Source organism: Homo sapiens, chromosome 9, assembly GCF_000001405.40.
Source record: "Homo sapiens chromosome 9, GRCh38.p14 Primary Assembly".
Taxonomy (NCBI): domain Eukaryota; kingdom Metazoa; phylum Chordata; class Mammalia; order Primates; family Hominidae; genus Homo; species Homo sapiens.
In genome coordinates this window covers 95,013,938-95,033,164 of record NC_000009.12, presented here as the reverse complement: position 1 = coordinate 95,033,164, position 19,227 = coordinate 95,013,938, and the positions used below count along the sequence as shown (strand labels likewise).

The following is a 19,227-nucleotide window of genomic DNA, read 5'->3' as shown; positions in this document are numbered from 1 at the left end:
ACTCCATGGACTAGTGGTAAGGAACCGTCTCCGAGATTAACAGCACATAGCACAGGAGCTATTCTTAGCTGGCTGCGCTGGCTGAAGCTGTAGGCACCTTCCCCCAACCATGTCAGGTGTGCTTCCAACTGCACTTTTTCCAACTGCAATCTCCCTGAACAATACGTGGCCATCCCAAAAACAGCCATTCTAAAATGAACTCTAGTGTTCTAGCACTTGGCACAGTATCAGAAGAATCCTTATCCCCATTATACACACCTATACATGCACATGCCCATCACATAGCCTGGTCAGAAAAGAGCTCTGGGGCTCTCAGGGCTGCACGTCCTGTAACATCACTGATGAGGCTGTTTTGTCATAAAATAAAAGCACAGAGGTGGGAACAACTCCAAACCACCCTCCCCTCACTTAGTCATGTATTTACCTACTGATTTGGGTGCCAATTATTTATTCCTAAGTAACACCTAGTATTTACTAGCTACAAAACAGGCTCTGTTGCAGGTGAAGTATTCCAAAGTGAGGTTTTGTGCCTAGAGCAGAGTAGCCTGGGAGAACATCAGCTCCTCAAGAAAACATTCTCCAACTAGCCCACTGTACACCCAAGGTGAAGGACCCTCTGGTAGTGCACATCGCCACCTTTCGCTGGCTCACCATAGGACAGAGGAGAACGTTTTCACATTTCACTCTCTGGCTTTTGTTTCAGTAATACCTTTGAATGGCAGAGTTTACTTAACAGATAACATATCTGAAAGCCTCACTTGAAAACCAATGCTGCAGTATCTGCTTCATTTCCCTGGGAGGTGGACAGGCTTCCTGATGGGCCATGCGAGGTCTGCCAGTCTTTCTGGCCCAGAACAGCTCCCCTGCACCTGTGAACACCTGGCTGGCCACAGCACTCAAGCCAAGAGGCCTATCTACCACTCCAGGTGGGGGTGGCCTGAAAAGGAAGGGCCAGAAGCAGGTGGCCTCCGCTGGCCAGGTGCAGTGGGGTTTTTCTCAGACACACACGATAAAGTGTGTTTGCAGGCTCACTGTGAGTCCTGCTGGAGGGTTTCAGGGCCCCCCAGTTAGTTTGCTTTCCTGGGACATGTACCTTCTGATCATGCCCCTTTCCATGTTATGGTTAATGTAACAGGATGAGAGAAACCACAAAGTACAAAAAGCTACAGGACACTGAGCCACTTATTCATGCCCCTGTAAGCACTGAAAAAAGCTGTCTTTAGCAGAAACACATGTAATCAAAAGAAGAGGCGGGGGCTCTGCAACATCAAAGCCCCTCAGTTGTGGCACATGGTCCACAAACAGGATAATCCTCCAGTTATCTGGGACAAGTCACAAGACAAGAGGAGCAAACAGTGTTCGCTTGTTTGAACTGGGACACATTTCCAAAAGGGAGCATGAAATGACATGATCCAGCAGCAGCTTAGGGAGCTTATGTTTTAATTCCCCCCTACCCGGAGAATCGGGCTTGAACAGGATTTAAGGTGCACAGGTGAGCTTTAGCAATTCATCAGTTACGTGTAGAGTAGTAAAATCCAACAGCCCCCTTTGATCTGCAAAAGTGTGCAGTTCTGTCCTCACTCCCCACCAGTTGGCCACTGCTGGGGCATTGGCAGAGCTGGGCTCTTGTGCTTTGATAGATGGTGATGTTTAAATCGGGTATCAGTTTCTATTAAAAAATGCTGAGGGACTTAGCTTCTAATCACACTAAAATGAAGACCTAGATGACGTCGTGTTCTGGCATTCTGGGTACACGTGAAGAATGCCCACCAAGAACACGCTCCGTGATTGGATGTTTAGGAGAGAAGAGAAACTACTTCACTTTCATGACATTCTTTTTAAACTAAAAGAGTAGACATGTGAAGAACAAAGACAGACCGACGCACTGACTTCACTTCATTAAATACATACTGGTAAATGCAGAGAAATCTATTAACTGCCAAAATAATTGACATTCTTTGGCCACGCATATTTATATTTAACACTTTGTGCTGTTAACACCACCAGAGCTCATGTCATGTGGGGGTGCATGTGACTGCACACCCAGGGTAAAACTGCACACTGTGAACACCACACTTTCCACTAGCCTGGGATCAAGCCTAGCAGAGAAGGGTCGGAAAAGCCAGCCAGGCCAGACAACATAGTGGAAATACTAGAGAGGAGGCAAAGTATCAGTTATACTTCTTTCAGGATTTGATTATGCTACTTTGAAGTGAGGACTATTTGCATTTTAATAAAAGCCAGAAAGCAGGAGACAGCTGTGTAACTGCATGTTTCTTAGAAATAAGTTGAGTATCCATTTCAGTGTAACCCATAAAGTAGAGCAGAAATAGACCCACGGTTAACTGCTGAACCTTGAAGCTCATCTTCCATAATTTCCATATTGCGCCTACAAACTAAACACACAAGTCATGATGGGGAGCTGGCAGTGTCCCCTGAGATTCTGAAATGGATGCCTGTTTGATTCATGTTCAGAGAGGAAGAAGAGACACAGAGAGGAAGAAGGATGGCTGCTGCCAGTTTTTACATCACTGGCCACATGCAGAAAGGCAAAGGTAAAGGACGAATGCACAAACCTTCCTCTCACAGTCCGACACGATCCCTTCATGAGGCTCAGACGCTGCTCTGCACTTACAGCCATTTACTCCAGGACACAGGAGATGGTTATCAAATGGAATCAGTTAAGGTATACATATCCCCAGGACTACAGCTGCAGTTAAATGCTGAATTCCAGTACTCATGGTCAATGAAGTTGCTTTTTATGAAATGTACATAACAGATCTTTCCAAAAAAGCAGAATTTCAAAACAACTGAATTCAATTATTTTTTTAAAAAGTAGCCTGCATGAAACCACCTTTGAAGTCACAAAGTCAAAGTCACAAATATATAACACGCTCCCATTCTTCTTCAATAATTATTCTTCTTAAAAGACAATCAAAATACTAAAAGTGCTGGTTGAGTGACTGGATTACTGGTAATTTTGAAATTTCTTCTTTATACCTTCCCATATTTTCAGAATTTTCTGTAACAGACAGTATCACTTTGATATTCAGGGGGAAAAAAAGTTAAATTTCTTATCTTGAGTTGGTTTAAAACAAGAAACTAAATATGCTGAACTGTAATAAAAATACAGGAAAGGTATCACACCAGAAAACAAAGCTTGGTTACTTTATGCAGAGACCAGAATCATACCACGGCTGCAATGGTCAACTCAGCACTCAAATCCAGATTTCAACAACTTGAGCAACATGAACTGGACTCCCAGGGGGCCTCCCTACTTAGGAGTGCTGGGCACACCATCAGTAATGCCACCCATCTCCCAGGACAAGCACTACGAAAGAGAGGCCAGACTATCACCTGGATTTCATATTAACAGATTTGGTTATTATAAATTAAATTGAAATGAATTTCAACCTCCTTCCCTTGAGTAACTTTCCTTTTTAAATTCTCACCATGCCCCTGATAAGCTGCTGGAGAAGATGCTTACAAAACACTGAAATGCCCAAAATATAAATAACAAATGAAAGAAGGACAACAAATACTGGAAAACTTAGAAACTCCAATCAGTGCTGAAACAGGAGCTGCTAACACATGGCGTCTCTCAAATTCTGGGGGTGAAGGAGTGACTGGCATGGCACTGAATGGATGGCAGGTGTGAGGGCCCAGGAGGGTGACACGCAGCACACAAAAAAGAAACAGCACTTACACTTGAGGATCTCGAGTAACTTTACCCTACTGAGAAAACACAGGCTTTGGAAGGGGCCACACCGGTTTACAGGGCATGGCTCATCAGTAACACACGCAGACAAAAGGACAAAGGCCAGGAAAATTCAGACTGGTAGAATGATTTAATGTATGCATCTACACAATGCCCATAAGGAATTCAGTAATGTCCACCTGAGGCCTGCCAGCCTGATTGCCTCTCACCCTCACCTCTTCTCAGAAATGTGTGGCTGGTCTTCTGGCACCCCCAGTTTCCCCAAGAGAGTGCACGGTGACAGGAGATTTCATGTTGGTCACGGCAGCAAGTATAGAGGACCACATCCTAGGGAGTCCCAGGCAAGCCCCTGAGAGAATCAGTTTTCAGCAAACGAGGACAGCTCAATGCCACACAGCACCTGCCCACACAGCTACCTGGAAACTCTGCCCCATGTGCGTTCCTCACCAGCTGGCGCTGCCTTCCAGACACACTAGGCTAGTATCTCAGTAATATGGACCAAAACACTGCGGACATCTGGGGCCAATGGCTCTCGCGGAATTCTTGGATAACCTAACACAAATAATATACACAATTGGGCAGGGAAATTCTAATACAATGCTCTATCTATAATAGAAAGCAGAATTAAAGGAAAAGTGAGTTATAAAGCATTAATATGGACGTCAATATTTACAAGCTGATGCCTGAGTACCCAATTAAATACAACAGTGAAGCAATGGGCTGCCTGGAGAATCCCCACTAACACACAGCTGTTAATGCAAACTGAAGCAGCTGTGGCAGGTGGTCACTCAAACATCACAAATGCATTCTCACTGCAAAAGAGATTTTCTGAAATGGCAAGTAACTCTTGGAAAAATTCAACAAAATACAATCTTCCCAGATTTACCCTTCAGACTCATTCCCAGAAACCTGAGTCAATATTAAAACTGTGTACATAAAAGAATTTCTAAGCCCAAATATTAGACACCAGTTTTTCACCTGTACAGCTCTCCAGCTGGCACCTGAAGGCTGTGTGGGTAGTGACGTAATTCTCCAGTCTGCTGGAATGCACTGTGCACCACAGGCATAGTGCGCCTGGACTCCATACACCCACGGCCAAAGCACCCCGATCACAAAGCACCCACATCACTCCCACGAGGGTGATTCTGCCCTATGAGAACCGTTCCTTTATAACAAACTGCCACCACATGACAAAAGTGCCTCTGGAGGCCAAAATAATTGATGTAAATTGTGTTCAGTTGAGGTTGTTTATTCAGATATCAGACCCTAAGAAAATCATCTCTGTCACTATTTTCCTCCCATGAACTTCTGGCACTGGGCACCTGGGTGCTAGGTGTGAACTGGAATGCCTCTCATCTTTTCCTCTTGACAGACTGCATGCCCCGCTTCAGAATATTTGGACAAGCACAAATTTGAAAGATAAACAGGCCTGCAATGAGTGTTCTGAGGCTCATGATTCTGCTGAGACCCAAAGGGTGGTCCTGAACTTCACCCACGACGAGAGGGTTATTTCACCGGAATGCTCTGTCATGACTGATGATACGACTTATTTAGAAAAATAGGTTCACTTGATTTGCTCACTGCCAAAATTAAAAATACCTGCAAATTCTAGAATAAGCAAAAATAATGAGAAACTCTGGTCATTTGGACTTGAAAACGTAGTAACCCCTGCCATGTTCTAATGATGTGATAAAGTTTCCTGCACAACTTTTGCAAGGCTTTTGGAGATAGCCTAGATTCATACAGATACTGCTAGTTGCATTTTTAATAAAGAATCCTTAAAAGCTACCAAATTCTAACACCTAGAACTTCACTATTTAATTATTTAAAGCACCCCAAAACATGGCTCTACAGACACATGTGTGTCTTTTCTATATTAAAACAATGTGTATAATCAGAAATACAAACTGACAAACATTGGTTTGAGTAACAGAACTAAAAAAAAGAATTCAAAATACCAAAAACATCACTCCTCAAAGTAAATTTAATTTAGACAATATCACATACACACATCAACTCAATACTTTATATCAAGTCCACAAGAAAAAAACATAATTAAATGGAATGTGTTTAACTGTTGCATGCATGACTGGTGGTAGAACCTAGAGAGTAGGGAGGATAGGCATCAAAGACTACAAGTTTATTTATTTTATTATTCTATTTTATTTTATTATTTTTTGAGACAGGGTCTCACTCTGGCTCTGTCACCCACACTGGGGTATAGTGGTGTGGTCACAGCTCACTGCAGCCTTGAACTCCTGGGCTCAAGCGATCCTCCCACCTCAGCCTCCCAAGTAGCTGGAACCACAGGTGCATGCCACCGTATCCAGCTAACTTTTGTATTTTTTTATAGAGATGGGGTTTCGCCATGTTGCCCAGGCTGGTCTCGAACTCCTAGGTTCAAGCGATCCACCCGCCTCAGCTCCCAAAGTACTGGGATTACAAGCGTGAGCCACCACTCCCACCCTACAGTTTTAATTAACATGTGTTAACAATGCTTGAAAAACTGTAAATACCTTAAAATAGTTCCTAGCTTTCTTCTGTACCTAAGAATATAAAACAAGTCAACAGTTAAGGTTATATTCCTTATAGCTCATGGCAAAGATGTGGAGAAACTGGGACCCTTGTTCATCACTGGTGGGAAGGTAATGTGGTATAGCCACTTTGGAAAACAATCTAGGCTTCTTAAATCACTCCATTTACTCAACTGCTCATATAAATTTACTCAACTTACGTGACTCCTAGGTCATCTATCGGAGAGAGGTAAAAGCATATGTTCATTTAACAACTCATCTGTACTTACTGCAGCATTACTACAGCCCTAAACTGGAAATAACCCAAATGTGCATCAACTGGTGAACAGACAGATAAAATGTGGTGTAACCATAAAATGGAATACTGTCCAGGAATAAAGGGAACACAGCGATACACACTGCGACATGCATGCACCTCAATACGTTATGCTAAGTGAAAGAAAACAAACACGTAAGACCATGTATTATATGATTCCACTGATATGAAATGTCCAGAAACTGCAAATCTACAGAAACAAGAAGTAGATTTACAGGTTGCCTAGGGATGAGGAGAGGGGGAAATAGGCAGTGATTAGTGATGGATGCCAGGGGTTTCTCTGGGATGATGGAAATGTTTTAAAACTAGATTGTGGTGATGGTTGCACAACTTAGCTAACTTACTTAAAATCAGTGAATTGTTTATGGCACGTAAATTACGCCTTAAAGTTGTTAAAAACATATATATACACAGAAAGAACCTGTGCTGAAGCCCTGGGTAGCTATGAAGTGTTAAATCTATATTCCGGTTTTCTCTTACTTTCTTGACTTCAGAGTGGAAAAGATGACATCAGTCCATTAGCATTATGAGAATGCAGAATTTTGCTATTCAATTTCCTCTAAAGATAATAAAGGAACACGGGGGAGGGACGCATGCAGGGGAGCAAATAAATCTGCTCTTTCCTCATTACGGAGTTCAAACTGGGTCACAGCCCTATTAGGCTTAACCACTCGGAGCTTACTTATTACTGCTTGCTGCCGGCGGAGGCAGTGCTGGGGCCTGGGAACTGGCAGAGTCCAGTGATGATCATGACCACTGCCCTAGGAACACACGACTTTTAGAATGGGCTAACCCAAGCAAGACACCTAGGCTAAGCATAATGGGCACTCTGAACAATTAGGAAATGACACTACAGAAATTCTTATCTTTAGCTCATGTAACCTAAAACCTTACACAAGTCACTTACCTCCCAAACTTCAAAGTTATGTTTTATTTGTTAAAATCACTATCAACTTAATAATTATACAAAACGAAAATACCAATGTGGTAAGCAGGCAGCCCATGCCCAATAATCTAAGACGACCTTTCTTGCACCTTTTCTCCCAACTCCTGATGAATTAACTTTTGCCAAGTACCTACTAAACTCACTGCTTTGCTCAGTGGGGTCAGCTCTGGCAGCTAACCTACCAGCTCTGCTTTGCAGACTCATCAACAACTCTTGTCTGTCTGACAAGGCACTGAGCCGTATCCAGCACTGTTGCTGTGGACAAGGAAGTAGCAATGGGCCACGTCTGCAGTGGCTGTGGGCTGACAGTATCTGTTAACAGAAGGCTGGAAGGAGTAGGGGGACACCAGCATATGTAATGGCCTCTGCTGGGAAAATGGATCACGGGAGAAGGAAGAACAAGGACAAGCCAGAATTTCTGACCATCCAAAAGCCAGGACACCAAGACTGCCCCAGCCATAAGACCATGACACATGCACCAGGTGCAGCAGGTGAGCACTGTAGACCATCTTTTATTCCCTGTAGAAAAGCTATTGAGAATGGTTCTAGCATAAAGAAAAGACAAATATTTAAGTTGATTGAGATCCCAAATATAATGATTTGATTTTTATAAATTATATGATGGTACTAAATCACATGTACCCTAAAACTATGTATACCTATTATCCATCAATAACAAATAAATAAATATGAAGCTAATAAAGTAAAACAGTTCATTGGCCTAAGGGGAAAAAAAGGTTTTGAATAGGAAAGCAAAATAATAACAAGTATGATAAGAGGGCCAATCTGATAGAAATGGTTGGAATTATTTTTAGCTGAAGTCGATAGGATGAAAATCTAACCGTATGAAAAGTGAAATGCTGTGGAAGAGTAGAGGAAGCAGGAAATCGGAAACGCTATATTTATCCCCTCCCCTCCCACCATTCCCTTGAGTATTTCCTTTATTTTGAGAAGAAAGCAATAAAATTATTCTCCATACCAACATTCTCCCTCCTCTCAGAGACACTCTGGCAAACAAACCGGCCAAAGGCCTCATGGAACGTGGGGCCACACGCTCAGGCTCAGAGTACAAAACTACTGCCAGCTCTTGGGCAGTCGGTACTCACACAGGGGTCAGATACCATATCTAGAAACGGCTCTGGCCAATGACCAGGTGGCGTTTCCCTAGGCCTAGGAGATCCCTGGTCACTCTCAAGGCTGAGGGGAAGAACAGCACAGCCTGGAGAAAACAATGAGAATGCTCCCGAGGCCTCATGGAGGCAGTGCTGCCAGTGGCTGCTCACGAGCTTGTGGATGAACTGCTACTCTCTGTTGACAAAGGTAAGGATATTCCAACAAGGACACGGACTATGGAAAACAACTGGTGGCATTTTTCTCATGATTCATTCCTATCCTACGTTCTCTCTCATTCCTGACTCTCCATTTAAAATAAACTTCTCAAGGAAAAGCAGGGATCAGGTGGGGAAAAACAACAACCTGCCTGGATGATAGAGCCGGCTGGCTGATCTAACATTTGACATGAAAATTATCCGACATAAAACCATAATTTCTTTTCCCATAAAAAATTCAAGCATGCTCATAATTTACAGGGCATGTGGAGTTTCAGCCCTTAGCAATTAGGAAGCCAGTGTCGGTCCACTGAGCTTTATCCAATGACCCTTTTAACTACTTGAAAATGATGTCTGATTATCAAGTAATGTTATGGCTTACCTATAAAAACTTCTTTTCAAAAATATTGATCCTTGACTACATAAGCAAGGCCTTTCTGAGAAGCCTTTTTAAATCATGCATAACCCATTACTCATAGCTGGGACAAACACTGGACCCATTTCTTCTGTGACTAAGTGGGTTTCTGTTAGTCAGCGCTCAGGGAAACTTATTAACGATCCAGAGCCAATTCCACACAAGAATAATAGTTACTGCAAACTCAGACCTCTGTAGTTGCTGGGAGGCGGGGGTCAGGGGAGATCTCAACACTTGTTGTTGAAAGGTTTCTGGAATTCTTCAGTTGCTCAGGACACCAGCAAGCATTTTTTTGTGGATAACCAGACTTTTTGTAAATTGAGCTCACAAAGACCTCAACCAAAATCAATAAAACAGCTCTAGTGACTTCAACTAAAACTCCCTTTGGAGGAGCCGACTGGAAACTTCCAACTGAACCTGAGGCAGTATTTGACTAGGGCAGAGTGGCCCCATGGGGCAGCTTCCTGGGTCTGCCTGGGAGGCAGGCGTCCTCTGCACCTGTGGCTGGGACCCACTAGAGAAGTGACTGGGCTGCTTTCCCAGTCTTAATGCTGGGGACACTTCAGCTGGCCCACATCCGCCACGCTGATGTTCCAAACGTGCCCTCATCGTCATTCTTCCTGCAGCTACACTTCCTGGTCTCTCCTATCAGCTCTCAGGAACATCTTCTGTTCCCATAACACACCACAGATAACAAATGACTTTAAGTCTGAAAACAGTACTGGAAAAGCCCATTCCCCAGTAACATTAATTACTACTGTCTGTGACCCATGATGCAGGGGCAGCTCTGTGCAAAATGTTTTCCCGTGAAGTCTGTTTTGCAGATGAGGAAACTGAGACTTAGAGAAGCGAGTCGGTCCAGCGTGAAAAAGCCGGTGAGGGGCAAAAAGGTGGGATTTCAATCAGTTTGTCTGATCACAAACCCATGTCATTCCGGACTACAGCGGGGAGAAAGGTACCTTAAGATCTCAATTTAACCCTAATAGCACAGGTGACCCACAGCATCAGCTACAGCCATGGCCAAAGTTCTATGGAAAAATAAGTTAATGGAAACCACACATGTTCTGGGCAAGGGGGGAAATGTTTCCATCCACAACAGACAAACATTTTTCCTGCTAAGAAAACTACATCAAAAAACTTCTTGGGAAGTAAAACACTCTCAACAAACTATTTCTACTGAGCTATTGTTAAAACAGCTGCTTTATTTTGAGTGATTTCTAACATATTAAGATAGACAATAATGAACTGTCTTTAAAAAAAAACAAAATAGGCCAGACGCGGTGGCTTACGCCCGTAATCCCAGCACTTTGGGAGGCCAAGGCGGGCGGATCATGAGGTCAGGAAATCGAGGCCATCCTGGCTAACACGGTGAAACCCCATCTCTACTAAAAATACAAAAAAAATTAGCCAGGCATGGTGGCGGGCACCCGTAGTCCCAGCTACCCAGGAGGCTGAGGCAGGAGAATCGCTTGAACCCAAGAGGTGGAGGTTGCAGTGAACCAAGATCGCACCATTGCACTCCAGCCTGGCGACAGAGACCCCATCTCAAAAATAATAATATAAGGATGTATTCCCAAATATGCTGGCAACAGTTTTTCAGAGGAAAAAAACCCCACTAAGAATACCATAGAGGCACTTTCTGTTTTATTCTTAACCTTCATGTAAATGACATACCTCACCCTCTAGACACCTGGAACATCATTTTGAAGAGAAGGAATAACACTGAAGTCCACACGTTTATAATATGCCTCCTCTCTTTCTCTGTAACAGTGTATGATCTCAAAACAGGTTTGATACAAAGAAAAACAAAAAGCTGAGACAAAATCTACAACAATCACTTGCGACTACTCTCTTCTCCCCTCCCATTGAATAATCTGAACCAAGAGCAAGAGTCCTGTAGCAGTGTCTGATTTCTTCTCTTCTATGACCTTGAACTCCATCAGGGGTTCCCAAGAAAGTGAAAATGCGGTTAAGCAAATCTAAACAGAAATAGTCCTTCTTCGCCTTCTCTTCTGGAGCCGGTTTACTTGCTCCACCTTTACACTTCCCACTGAGCCTCTCCCTGGGATGGCTCCTGATGACAGTGACTCTTCCATAAACGAGGGCAGTTCTCCAGAAACCAAGGCGTCGGTCAGACCGTGAATCAAGAGTTAGATGCACACAGCGATGTAGCTTCAATCTAAGATGGGAGACTGTGGTCACACAGCAGGCCCCAGCCCAAACCTGCCCCCTGCTCAGAGGACAAAGGCCAATTAGACTCTCTGTGTGTGTGCGCACATGTGCATGCTTGTATGCACACACACCCACACAAGCTACACATGCATGCTGGTACATCACTAATCCTCTGCTGGAAGATACTTCGGCATCATTTAAATTTGTCTTATGATAATCTGATGCTCTGTGATTAGGTAATGCTATTGTTGACCAAGTCATTAAATTAATCTTCAATAAAGACTCAAGGATGCCAGGATCCTCAAGGCAGGGAAAGGCAGGTGCCTTTTCCCAGAGCCTTTCATTTTGCTAAGAAGGAGGAGAGGAAGCTTTCTGCAAGTCTGAATCAGCTCAGTACTTGCCTTTTCTTGCCACCTGCCCACTTCAGTATCTGCCAGTTGTGTTAGAGAGAAAATATGTCTTTTTCCCTAAGCCAGACTATTCCTACCCATTTTGCCCTGCCAGTAACACAGAGAGTTCTGGGGCACTAATCCCTTCACAATCCAAGTTTTGGGGAATGAGGGTAGTTTGATCTGGCCTATGAACAAACAGCCAAGTTAGACAGACTGCAGAAACTCTAAAATTGCAATATATCAAGGTATGAATATATATAAACATGAAAATCAGCTTTGCATTTTAGAAAACAATACTAACATATATATTTACAAATACCAGCACAGACTGGTGAAAAGGTCATTTGTGAGAGTGCCATTACTGCATTTCAAAACAAAATGTCAATTTATCTGGTCATGCTTATGTCTTTTTTTTTTTTTTTTTTGAGACAAGGTCTCACTCTGTTGCCCAGGCTGGAGTACAGTGGCGCAATCTCGGCTTAACTGCAACCTCCACCTCCCAGGCTCAGGCAATCCTCCCACCTCAGCCTCCTGAGTAGCTGGGACCACAGCCATGCACCACCACACCTGGCTAATTTTTGCATTTTTAGTAGAGACGGGGTTTCACCATGTTGCCGAGGTTGGTCTTGAACTCCTGAGCTCAAGCGATCCACCTGCCTCAGCCTCCCAAAGTGCTGAAACTATAGGCGTGAGCCATCATGCCTGGCCCTATATTTCTTTTTTTTTTTTTAAATAATACTGTCATGTCACAGTTGGTCTATAACAAGCATCACAAAAATGTCAAATAATCTGTGCCTTGTAAAATCCACTAATGTAACATGAAAAGCACAATTTGACATCAACCCGTGCAGTGAACCCAGCTGTGTTACTATAGAATCCTTATCTGCTCTTTGGAATTACTGATCTCTCAAAATCTGACTCAGTTTACTTCTAGCCCAAATGGAAAAGTCCTCAATAAGCCAGGAAACAGCCCTCCCTTTGGATGTGTGTCTAGTCTACAAAGGATGGCCTTCTGGGGTACCATCTTGTGTCTCCCAGACCTTTCCCTGTCTCCCTCAGTGTCTGTGCCCCACAATACAACAAAGGCCACCTGGACACATCTCTCCTTACCTGGAACCCAAAGCAGCTCTGCCTCCATGCCTGCCTTGGGGAGCTACCTGGGCAGACAGCTGGAAAAAGCAAGAGGAGACCCAGGCTCTAGTTCCAGGCCAGCATGCAGGCCTGGGAATCAACTTCTCAGGGCCTCTGCATTCTCATATGTGAAACAAGGACTTGAATTAGAGAAGCTTGTGAGGTCTTTCCCAGCTCTCACAACTCCAGCCTTGGACAACTTTCCAAACAAAGTGCTCAACTGAAACTTCAGGTGTTCCTCCGTGGCAATCCTTCTCCTCTTCCTTCTCCTTAGGACTAGCACATGCATCTATGGAGGACCTCTAGTAGCTTTCATAACATTCTACTCACTAGCACACTCCTCCACGTGCTTGGGTTATAATCTTCCGGTTATTTTAGACAGCTTCTTGCTGGTGGTGACTTTATTTTCTCAAGTTGCCTGAACTTTTCAGTTCTTCCTGATGGTCTGTGCAGCACCATGGTACCAAGATGAGATTTCCACAGGTCAAAAGCACTATGTTCTCTTTAACATTTAGAAGCTCAACATGACCAAGAATCATTTCAGAGAAAATAATCATTTCACAGAAAACTAGAGTACACTTTTGTCATGAAATACACTGCAACACTGCAACTGTGTTTAGCAAAAGGGTAACAGGTAGCTGGAACCTTCCTTTAGACAGAAAACTTCAATGTGATGATGCACATGGGCCCAATCTTAAGTGCCTTTCATTAGCTGGGTATTTGCAAAAGCTCCAACAGCCTTTAAAGGAACTTCAAATCAAAACTGTTTGAAAAAAAGAAACAAAATCAGCGACTTACTGCGTATAAAAAATGATGATAGATTATCTAAAATGGAGCTTTGATAGAATACAAATCTCATCAACAGCCTGACCACCACCTAGGGAGCTTCCAATTTGGAGACGGGACAAGGACAATCTATTGTACTATAATGGACAAAGTGAAGAGAGTGGCAAATAAAACAATACAGTTGCTCTGAGAAACACAACTGGTTTTCTTGAGTAAAGCCAAAAGGCAGGGAATAAACACAACAACTCATAAAGTACTGCTGCTGTACTTGCTGCTGCTGTACTTGCTGCTGTATACTTGCTGCTGTATACTTGCTGCTGTATACTTGCTGCTATACTTGCTGCCGGCTGAAGAACAGTTACAGGAAAAAACCAAGCCTGATTTTTTTTTAACGTCTATAAATAAATTTAGGAATGTTTTCCTGCTTCTCTGTCATGGAGGAGAAAAAAACAAACGGATGGCATCGCTATCCACATGCCATCACGTAAGCAGCCTTCCACCGCCTTCTGTGAAGAGGTGCCTTAAGATGCATTAAGTATTGAGTGAGTACTAGCTGCCTTAGAGAAGTCCCCTCACTAACTCCCACAAGGCTCTGACGAGGCACGTATCTGCCCTTTCACAGGATGACATGCGGTTGCACAGTCACTGTGGAGACAGCCTCGGAAGCAGGTCTGACCACCCAGCGCCTGTGTGCTGCAGCCAAGAGGCAGAGAGAACCTCTCCACAACACTAGCATTCTTCTGCAGAAAACAAGCTGCATGTCATCAGACACAATTCCAGAGAGGATAAGAACAGATGATTTTGAAAGGATAAAAAGAAAGGCACACCTAACAATGCTACAAGGACAGAGAGGATTCTGAGTCACAATAGTTGACAGAACAAAAGCAGGTTGCTACAACTCCAACTGACGCATGAAGATTCTAGGCTCAGTGACTCATTTGGGAATCTCGGGTGAGACATTTAGATTCCCATTTACTGGGCCAATGCCTTCTGGTCTGTAAAATGGAAGACACGAGCAGCATTAAGGTATCTAGACACTTTCAAATCCTCTCAAGAAATAAAATGTTAAGTATAAAAAAGCACGTTTGAACACCCACCGGAGTGGCTAAAATAAAGAAGTCTGACAATACCAGGAGCTGACAAGGAGGCAGAGAAACTAAAAACCTTAAACACTGCTGGTGGAAATGTAAAATGGTACAGGTACTTTGGAAAACAGTCTAGCAACTTCTTAAAAAGTTAAACATATACCTGCCATATAGCCAAGCCATTCAATGCCTAGGTACCCACCCAAGAGAAATGAAAACATATGTCTACACAAAGACAGTTATACCAGTGTCCACAGATGGGTTATTCATAATAGCCAAAAACTGCAAAAAACATTCCAAACATCTCATAACCAGTAAGTGGATCAACAAAATGTAGTATATCCATACAATGCAAAACTACTTTAAAATAAAAAGGAACTAGTGATACATGCAACACCACTGGAGCTCAAACTTTACAATGAAAGAAGCAGATCCAAAAGACTGAGTAGTGTATGATTCAATTACATGAAATTTCTAGAAAAGGTAAACTATAAACCAGAAAGCAGACTAGTACTTGCCTGGGGCTAGGAGGAGGAATGGGGATTGACTACAAATGGATACAAGGAACTTTCTGGGTGATGGAAATGTTCTAAAACTGGACTGTCGTATCAGGTACACAACTATAAGCATTTCTTAAAACTCAACAAACTGTCTGTGGATGAATTTCCTGGCATGTAACGTATACATGACATATAACTCAAGAAAGTCATTAAGAGCGAGACTCAGAATCACCATCTTTGCTGTCTGTGGGGGCACTCAGCAATCTTTACCTTTGTCATCAGGAGTAAATGTTGAAGGTAGAGCCACACGCTGCATAACGACATTTCAGTCAACGATGGGTCACATACACAACGGTGGTCCCATAAGAATATAATACTGTATTTTTACTGTCCCTTTTCTATGTTTAGACAGGTTTAGATACATTAATAATTACCAATGTGTTACAATTGCTTGCAGTATTCAGTACAGTAACATGTTGTACAAATTTGAAGTGTAGGAGCAATAGGCTCTACCATCTAGGTTTGTCTAAGTATACTCTATGATGTTCTCACCATGATGAAATCACCACATGAAGCATTTCCCCATAATTAAGTGATGTGTGACTGTATAGCTTTGACACTGAAAACTAAAGCTTATGTATGTGTGATGGTTAGGGAGAAAAAAAAACAGAAACCCACTTGTATACGAATAGGATCCAGAGGTACATTCTGCTTTTCTCCTGGATTCTTTCTGCCATTCCTGTTTAATGTCTCATGCCCTTCATAGCTTTTTCTCCTCTTGGACACCAAATTAATGGTAGAAAATTGCCACATTTTATATATACATAAATTATATATATAATTATATATAATTATAAATTAATAGCATGAGCTATGTGACTTGTAGTTACAAGTGAGGCCACATAAAATGACTACTGTTACCTTATCTAAGAAAATGCCAGGGTCGGGAGTGGTGGCTCATGCCTGTAATCCTAGCACTTTGGGTGGCTGAAGCACAAGGATTGCTTGTGGCCAGTAGTTCAAGACCAGCAACATAGAGACCCTGTCTCTTTTAAAAAAAAAAAAAGCTGACATGGTGGTACACACCTGTAGTCTCAGCTACTCAGGAGGCTGAGGCAGGAGGATCACTTGAATCCAAAAGTTTGAGCTTACAGTGAGCCATAATCATGCCATTGGACTTAAGCCTGGGTGACAGAATGAGACCCCATCTCAATAAAAAAAGGTCATGCTATATCTGTGGTGCTGGAAACGTGTGGGATGCTATCTGAATGACAACCTAACATTCAAAAATCACAAAAGGGCCTGGCGCGGTGGCTCACACCTGTAATCCCAGCACTTTGGGAGGCCAAAGTGGGTAGATTACCTGAGGTCAGGAGTTCAGCACCAGCCTGGTCAACATGATGAAACCCCATTTCTACTAAAAAACAAAAATTAGCCAGGCGTGGTGGTGGGTGCCTGTAATCTCAGCTACTCAGGAGGCTGAGGCAGGGAGAATGGCTTGAACCCGGGAGGCTGACGTTGCAGTGGGCCAAGATCGCGCCACTGCACTCCAGCCTGGGCGATAGAGAATACGTTTCAAAAAAAAAAAAAAAAAAATCACAAGAGAAGGAAACTTTGAATAACTCTAGAACTTAAAGTTACCATCCCCAATTCTGAAACATTTTATTTTGCCTTAAAACCAAAGGTTTACCGTGGGGGGAAAAAAAAAAAAAGCTTAATGCAAGTAAAAGGAAAAAAGAGTGAGAGTAAAATAGACTGAACCAAGTTCAGAGGTAGCCTAAACTTGCTGTGGCACTTTGATTTCACATTTATGAGCCAAAGATAAAAGATCAATTTCCGGGGCCAGGCAAAGTGGTTCATACCTGTAATCCCAGCACTTTGGGAGGCCAAGGCAGGCGGATCACTTGAGGTCAGGAGTTCGAGACCACCCTGGCCAACATGGTGCAACCCTGTCTCTACTAAAAATAGAAGAAAAAAAATTTCATACTGAGTATGTGCTCATGAAGGCAATCTGGATTTTGAGAATACAAATTATGGTATCCTCGATTATACAAAATAACAAGAGTTGAATGAAACTGCACAGGTATTTGTATCCTGCTATCAGCCTGAAGGAGGGCTTATGGACAATGAAAATACCCAAAGTGATGACTTCCCTTATAGAGATCCAAACTGTTCCGATACCTCCTGCACTTCCCTGCACCTCTGATACAGGTGTGATTCAATTGTCTTCTATCCTATAATAGTTTTCTACATCTATCTATAAATTCTCCTATCCTATATAGTTTTCTACTTCTAACTATAAACTATTCTATTCATCTCAGTATTCTCTACTCCTGACTCAGGGTTTTGTACGTTGTGAACATCAAATAAAAATTGTAAATTGTTTGAATAAATATAGAATTTAATAAGAAATGTGTTATGCACAGAATAATCAACAGTATTACATTTCTGGCCTTGGGTTTCCAAATCGTCTTGATTCACAGGTGTCAGCAGGACTTCTATAATAGGTTCCAGCTTTACTTGCAAAACATAGATGAATTTTTAAAAGCATATATTCAAATAAAGACACTAACACTATTTACATATACATCAATCAAACCCCTATCTGTGCTTACAAACCAGGTAAAAGCACTAAAATGGACTCAGTTAATTCAATTATCCAATTTCCCACCATAATTTCCAGCCTACATGTGTAAAGTGTTGCTTTATCAAAACAAAGACCAGGCATGGAAACTCTAGCCCAGGGTAGCCTCGGGTAAAAATGCATCATATACTCATGTCTTTAGTTTGTGTTATGCTGCTGTGGATTTATTTATCACAGGATGCTTTGTAAGTGATCTTTGATATGCTGTGTGTTTGATCTCCCCATGGCCAGAAATGACATTTCTCATGTCTCTTTGGTATTTTCCAGCAGCCTCTTACGTGGGGGACTTATGTACAATAAATTCAAGAAAATGTACTGGTTGTTCAGGCTGACTTAGGTTTTCAGCAATCCTCATTATCTGAAAAATAGACTACTTTAATTTTTTCCAGTGTTTCTCTATGCACATATAAACTGAAATCATGTAAACCCAGAGTTCTGAGTGGGGAACTAACATGACAGGCAAGAGTGTGAGAAGATAAATGGAAATGGAGTTTTCTAGATGAGGTACTTCAGAAAGCGCCACTTCCTTCAATCCAGTAGTAGTCCTCCATGAGTAGATGCAGAGATCCTGCTTACCACATGGAATCAGGGAAAGGTTATTTACTGTCGGGACATAGAAGACTCACTGGGTAGCCACTATTTACTTTTCACAGACAGAACATCAACTCAAGTCCATACACTCATAAAATGAAGTACTCTTAAGTTTCTTTTCTCTTTTTTTTTTTTGAAACAGGGTCTTGCTCTGTCACCCAGGCTGGAAGGCAGTGGCACGATCTAGGCTTATAGCAACATTCGCCTCCCAGGCTCAAGGGACACTCCACCTCAGCCCTGGAGGAGCTGGGACCACAGACATGTACCACCACGTCCAGCTAATTTTTGTGTTCTTTTTTTTTTCTAGAGATGGGATCTCGCTATGTTGCCCAGGCTAGTCTTGAACTCCTAGACTCAAGCCATCCATCCACCCTGGCCTCCCAAAGTACTGGGATTACAGGCGTGAGCCACCATGACCAGACAATTTTTGTATTTGGTAGAGATAAGGTTTTGCCATGTTGCTCAGGCTGTCTAAATTTCAAAGTTCCTAATAACAAGAAACTTTAAAGGATAACAAGATAGTAAAATAATACATTTAAAGCACTTCATATATAATACCTTATTTGGCTTCATATCTACTGTGAGCAAGCAAAACAAAAAAGTTATTCTCATTTTACAGACAAGGAAAATAAAGCTCAAAAGCCAAGTGACAACCAGGAAAAGTAACCC

General features: G+C 42.5%; 1 protein-coding gene across 43 annotated transcripts in view, besides 4 other annotated features; it reads right to left on the bottom strand.

The window, feature by feature from the left end:
* The window catches only part of AOPEP (aminopeptidase O (putative)), a 423,526-nt gene that overhangs the window by 117,060 nt on the left and 287,239 nt on the right, over nucleotides 1-19,227 (bottom strand). For 4 of the 43 annotated variants that reach the window (XM_047423980.1, XM_017015232.3, XM_047423985.1 and 1 more), the window contains one exon: nucleotides 10,880-13,715. The exons of 35 other annotated variants lie outside the window; for them this stretch is intronic. Coding sequence is in view for 4 of the 8 variants with exons in the window: in XM_017015232.3 (XP_016870721.1) it covers nucleotides 13,710-13,715 (6 nt within the window). In the remaining 4 variants the exon portion in view is untranslated. Of the gene's footprint in view, nucleotides 1-10,879; nucleotides 13,716-16,988; nucleotides 17,282-19,227 lie in introns of those variants that run through there. 4 more of the 43 variants (XR_007061363.1, XR_929855.3, XM_047423982.1 and 1 more) reach the window with 2 other exon arrangements.
* Nucleotides 411-910: an enhancer, noted in NCBI's record as "H3K4me1 hESC enhancer chr9:97794537-97795036 (GRCh37/hg19 assembly coordinates)". NCBI's record gives its function as "activates a minimal SCP1, AML or CMV promoter by ChIP-STARR-seq in naive H9 embryonic stem cells {active_cell/tissue: H9 hESC(naive)}" and the evidence as "EXISTENCE:reporter gene assay evidence [ECO:0000049][PMID:30033119]".
* Nucleotides 4,128-4,278: a silencer, noted in NCBI's record as "fragment chr9:97791169-97791319 (GRCh37/hg19 assembly coordinates)". NCBI's record gives its function as "represses an EF-1alpha promoter that drives an FKBP-Casp9 reporter gene in an ReSE screen in HepG2 liver carcinoma cells {active_cell/tissue: HepG2}" and the evidence as "EXISTENCE:reporter gene assay evidence [ECO:0000049][PMID:32094911]".
* Nucleotides 8,687-9,886: an enhancer, noted in NCBI's record as "CDK7 strongly-dependent group 2 enhancer chr9:97785561-97786760 (GRCh37/hg19 assembly coordinates)". NCBI's record gives its function as "activates an origin of replication core promoter dependent on BRD2, BRD4, P300/CBP, MED14 and CDK7 cofactors, with strong dependence on CDK7, by STARR-seq in HCT116 cells {active_cell/tissue: HCT116}" and the evidence as "EXISTENCE:reporter gene assay evidence [ECO:0000049][PMID:35650434]".
* Nucleotides 14,152-15,351: an enhancer, noted in NCBI's record as "CDK7 strongly-dependent group 2 enhancer chr9:97780096-97781295 (GRCh37/hg19 assembly coordinates)". NCBI's record gives its function as "activates an origin of replication core promoter dependent on BRD2, BRD4, P300/CBP, MED14 and CDK7 cofactors, with strong dependence on CDK7, by STARR-seq in HCT116 cells {active_cell/tissue: HCT116}" and the evidence as "EXISTENCE:reporter gene assay evidence [ECO:0000049][PMID:35650434]".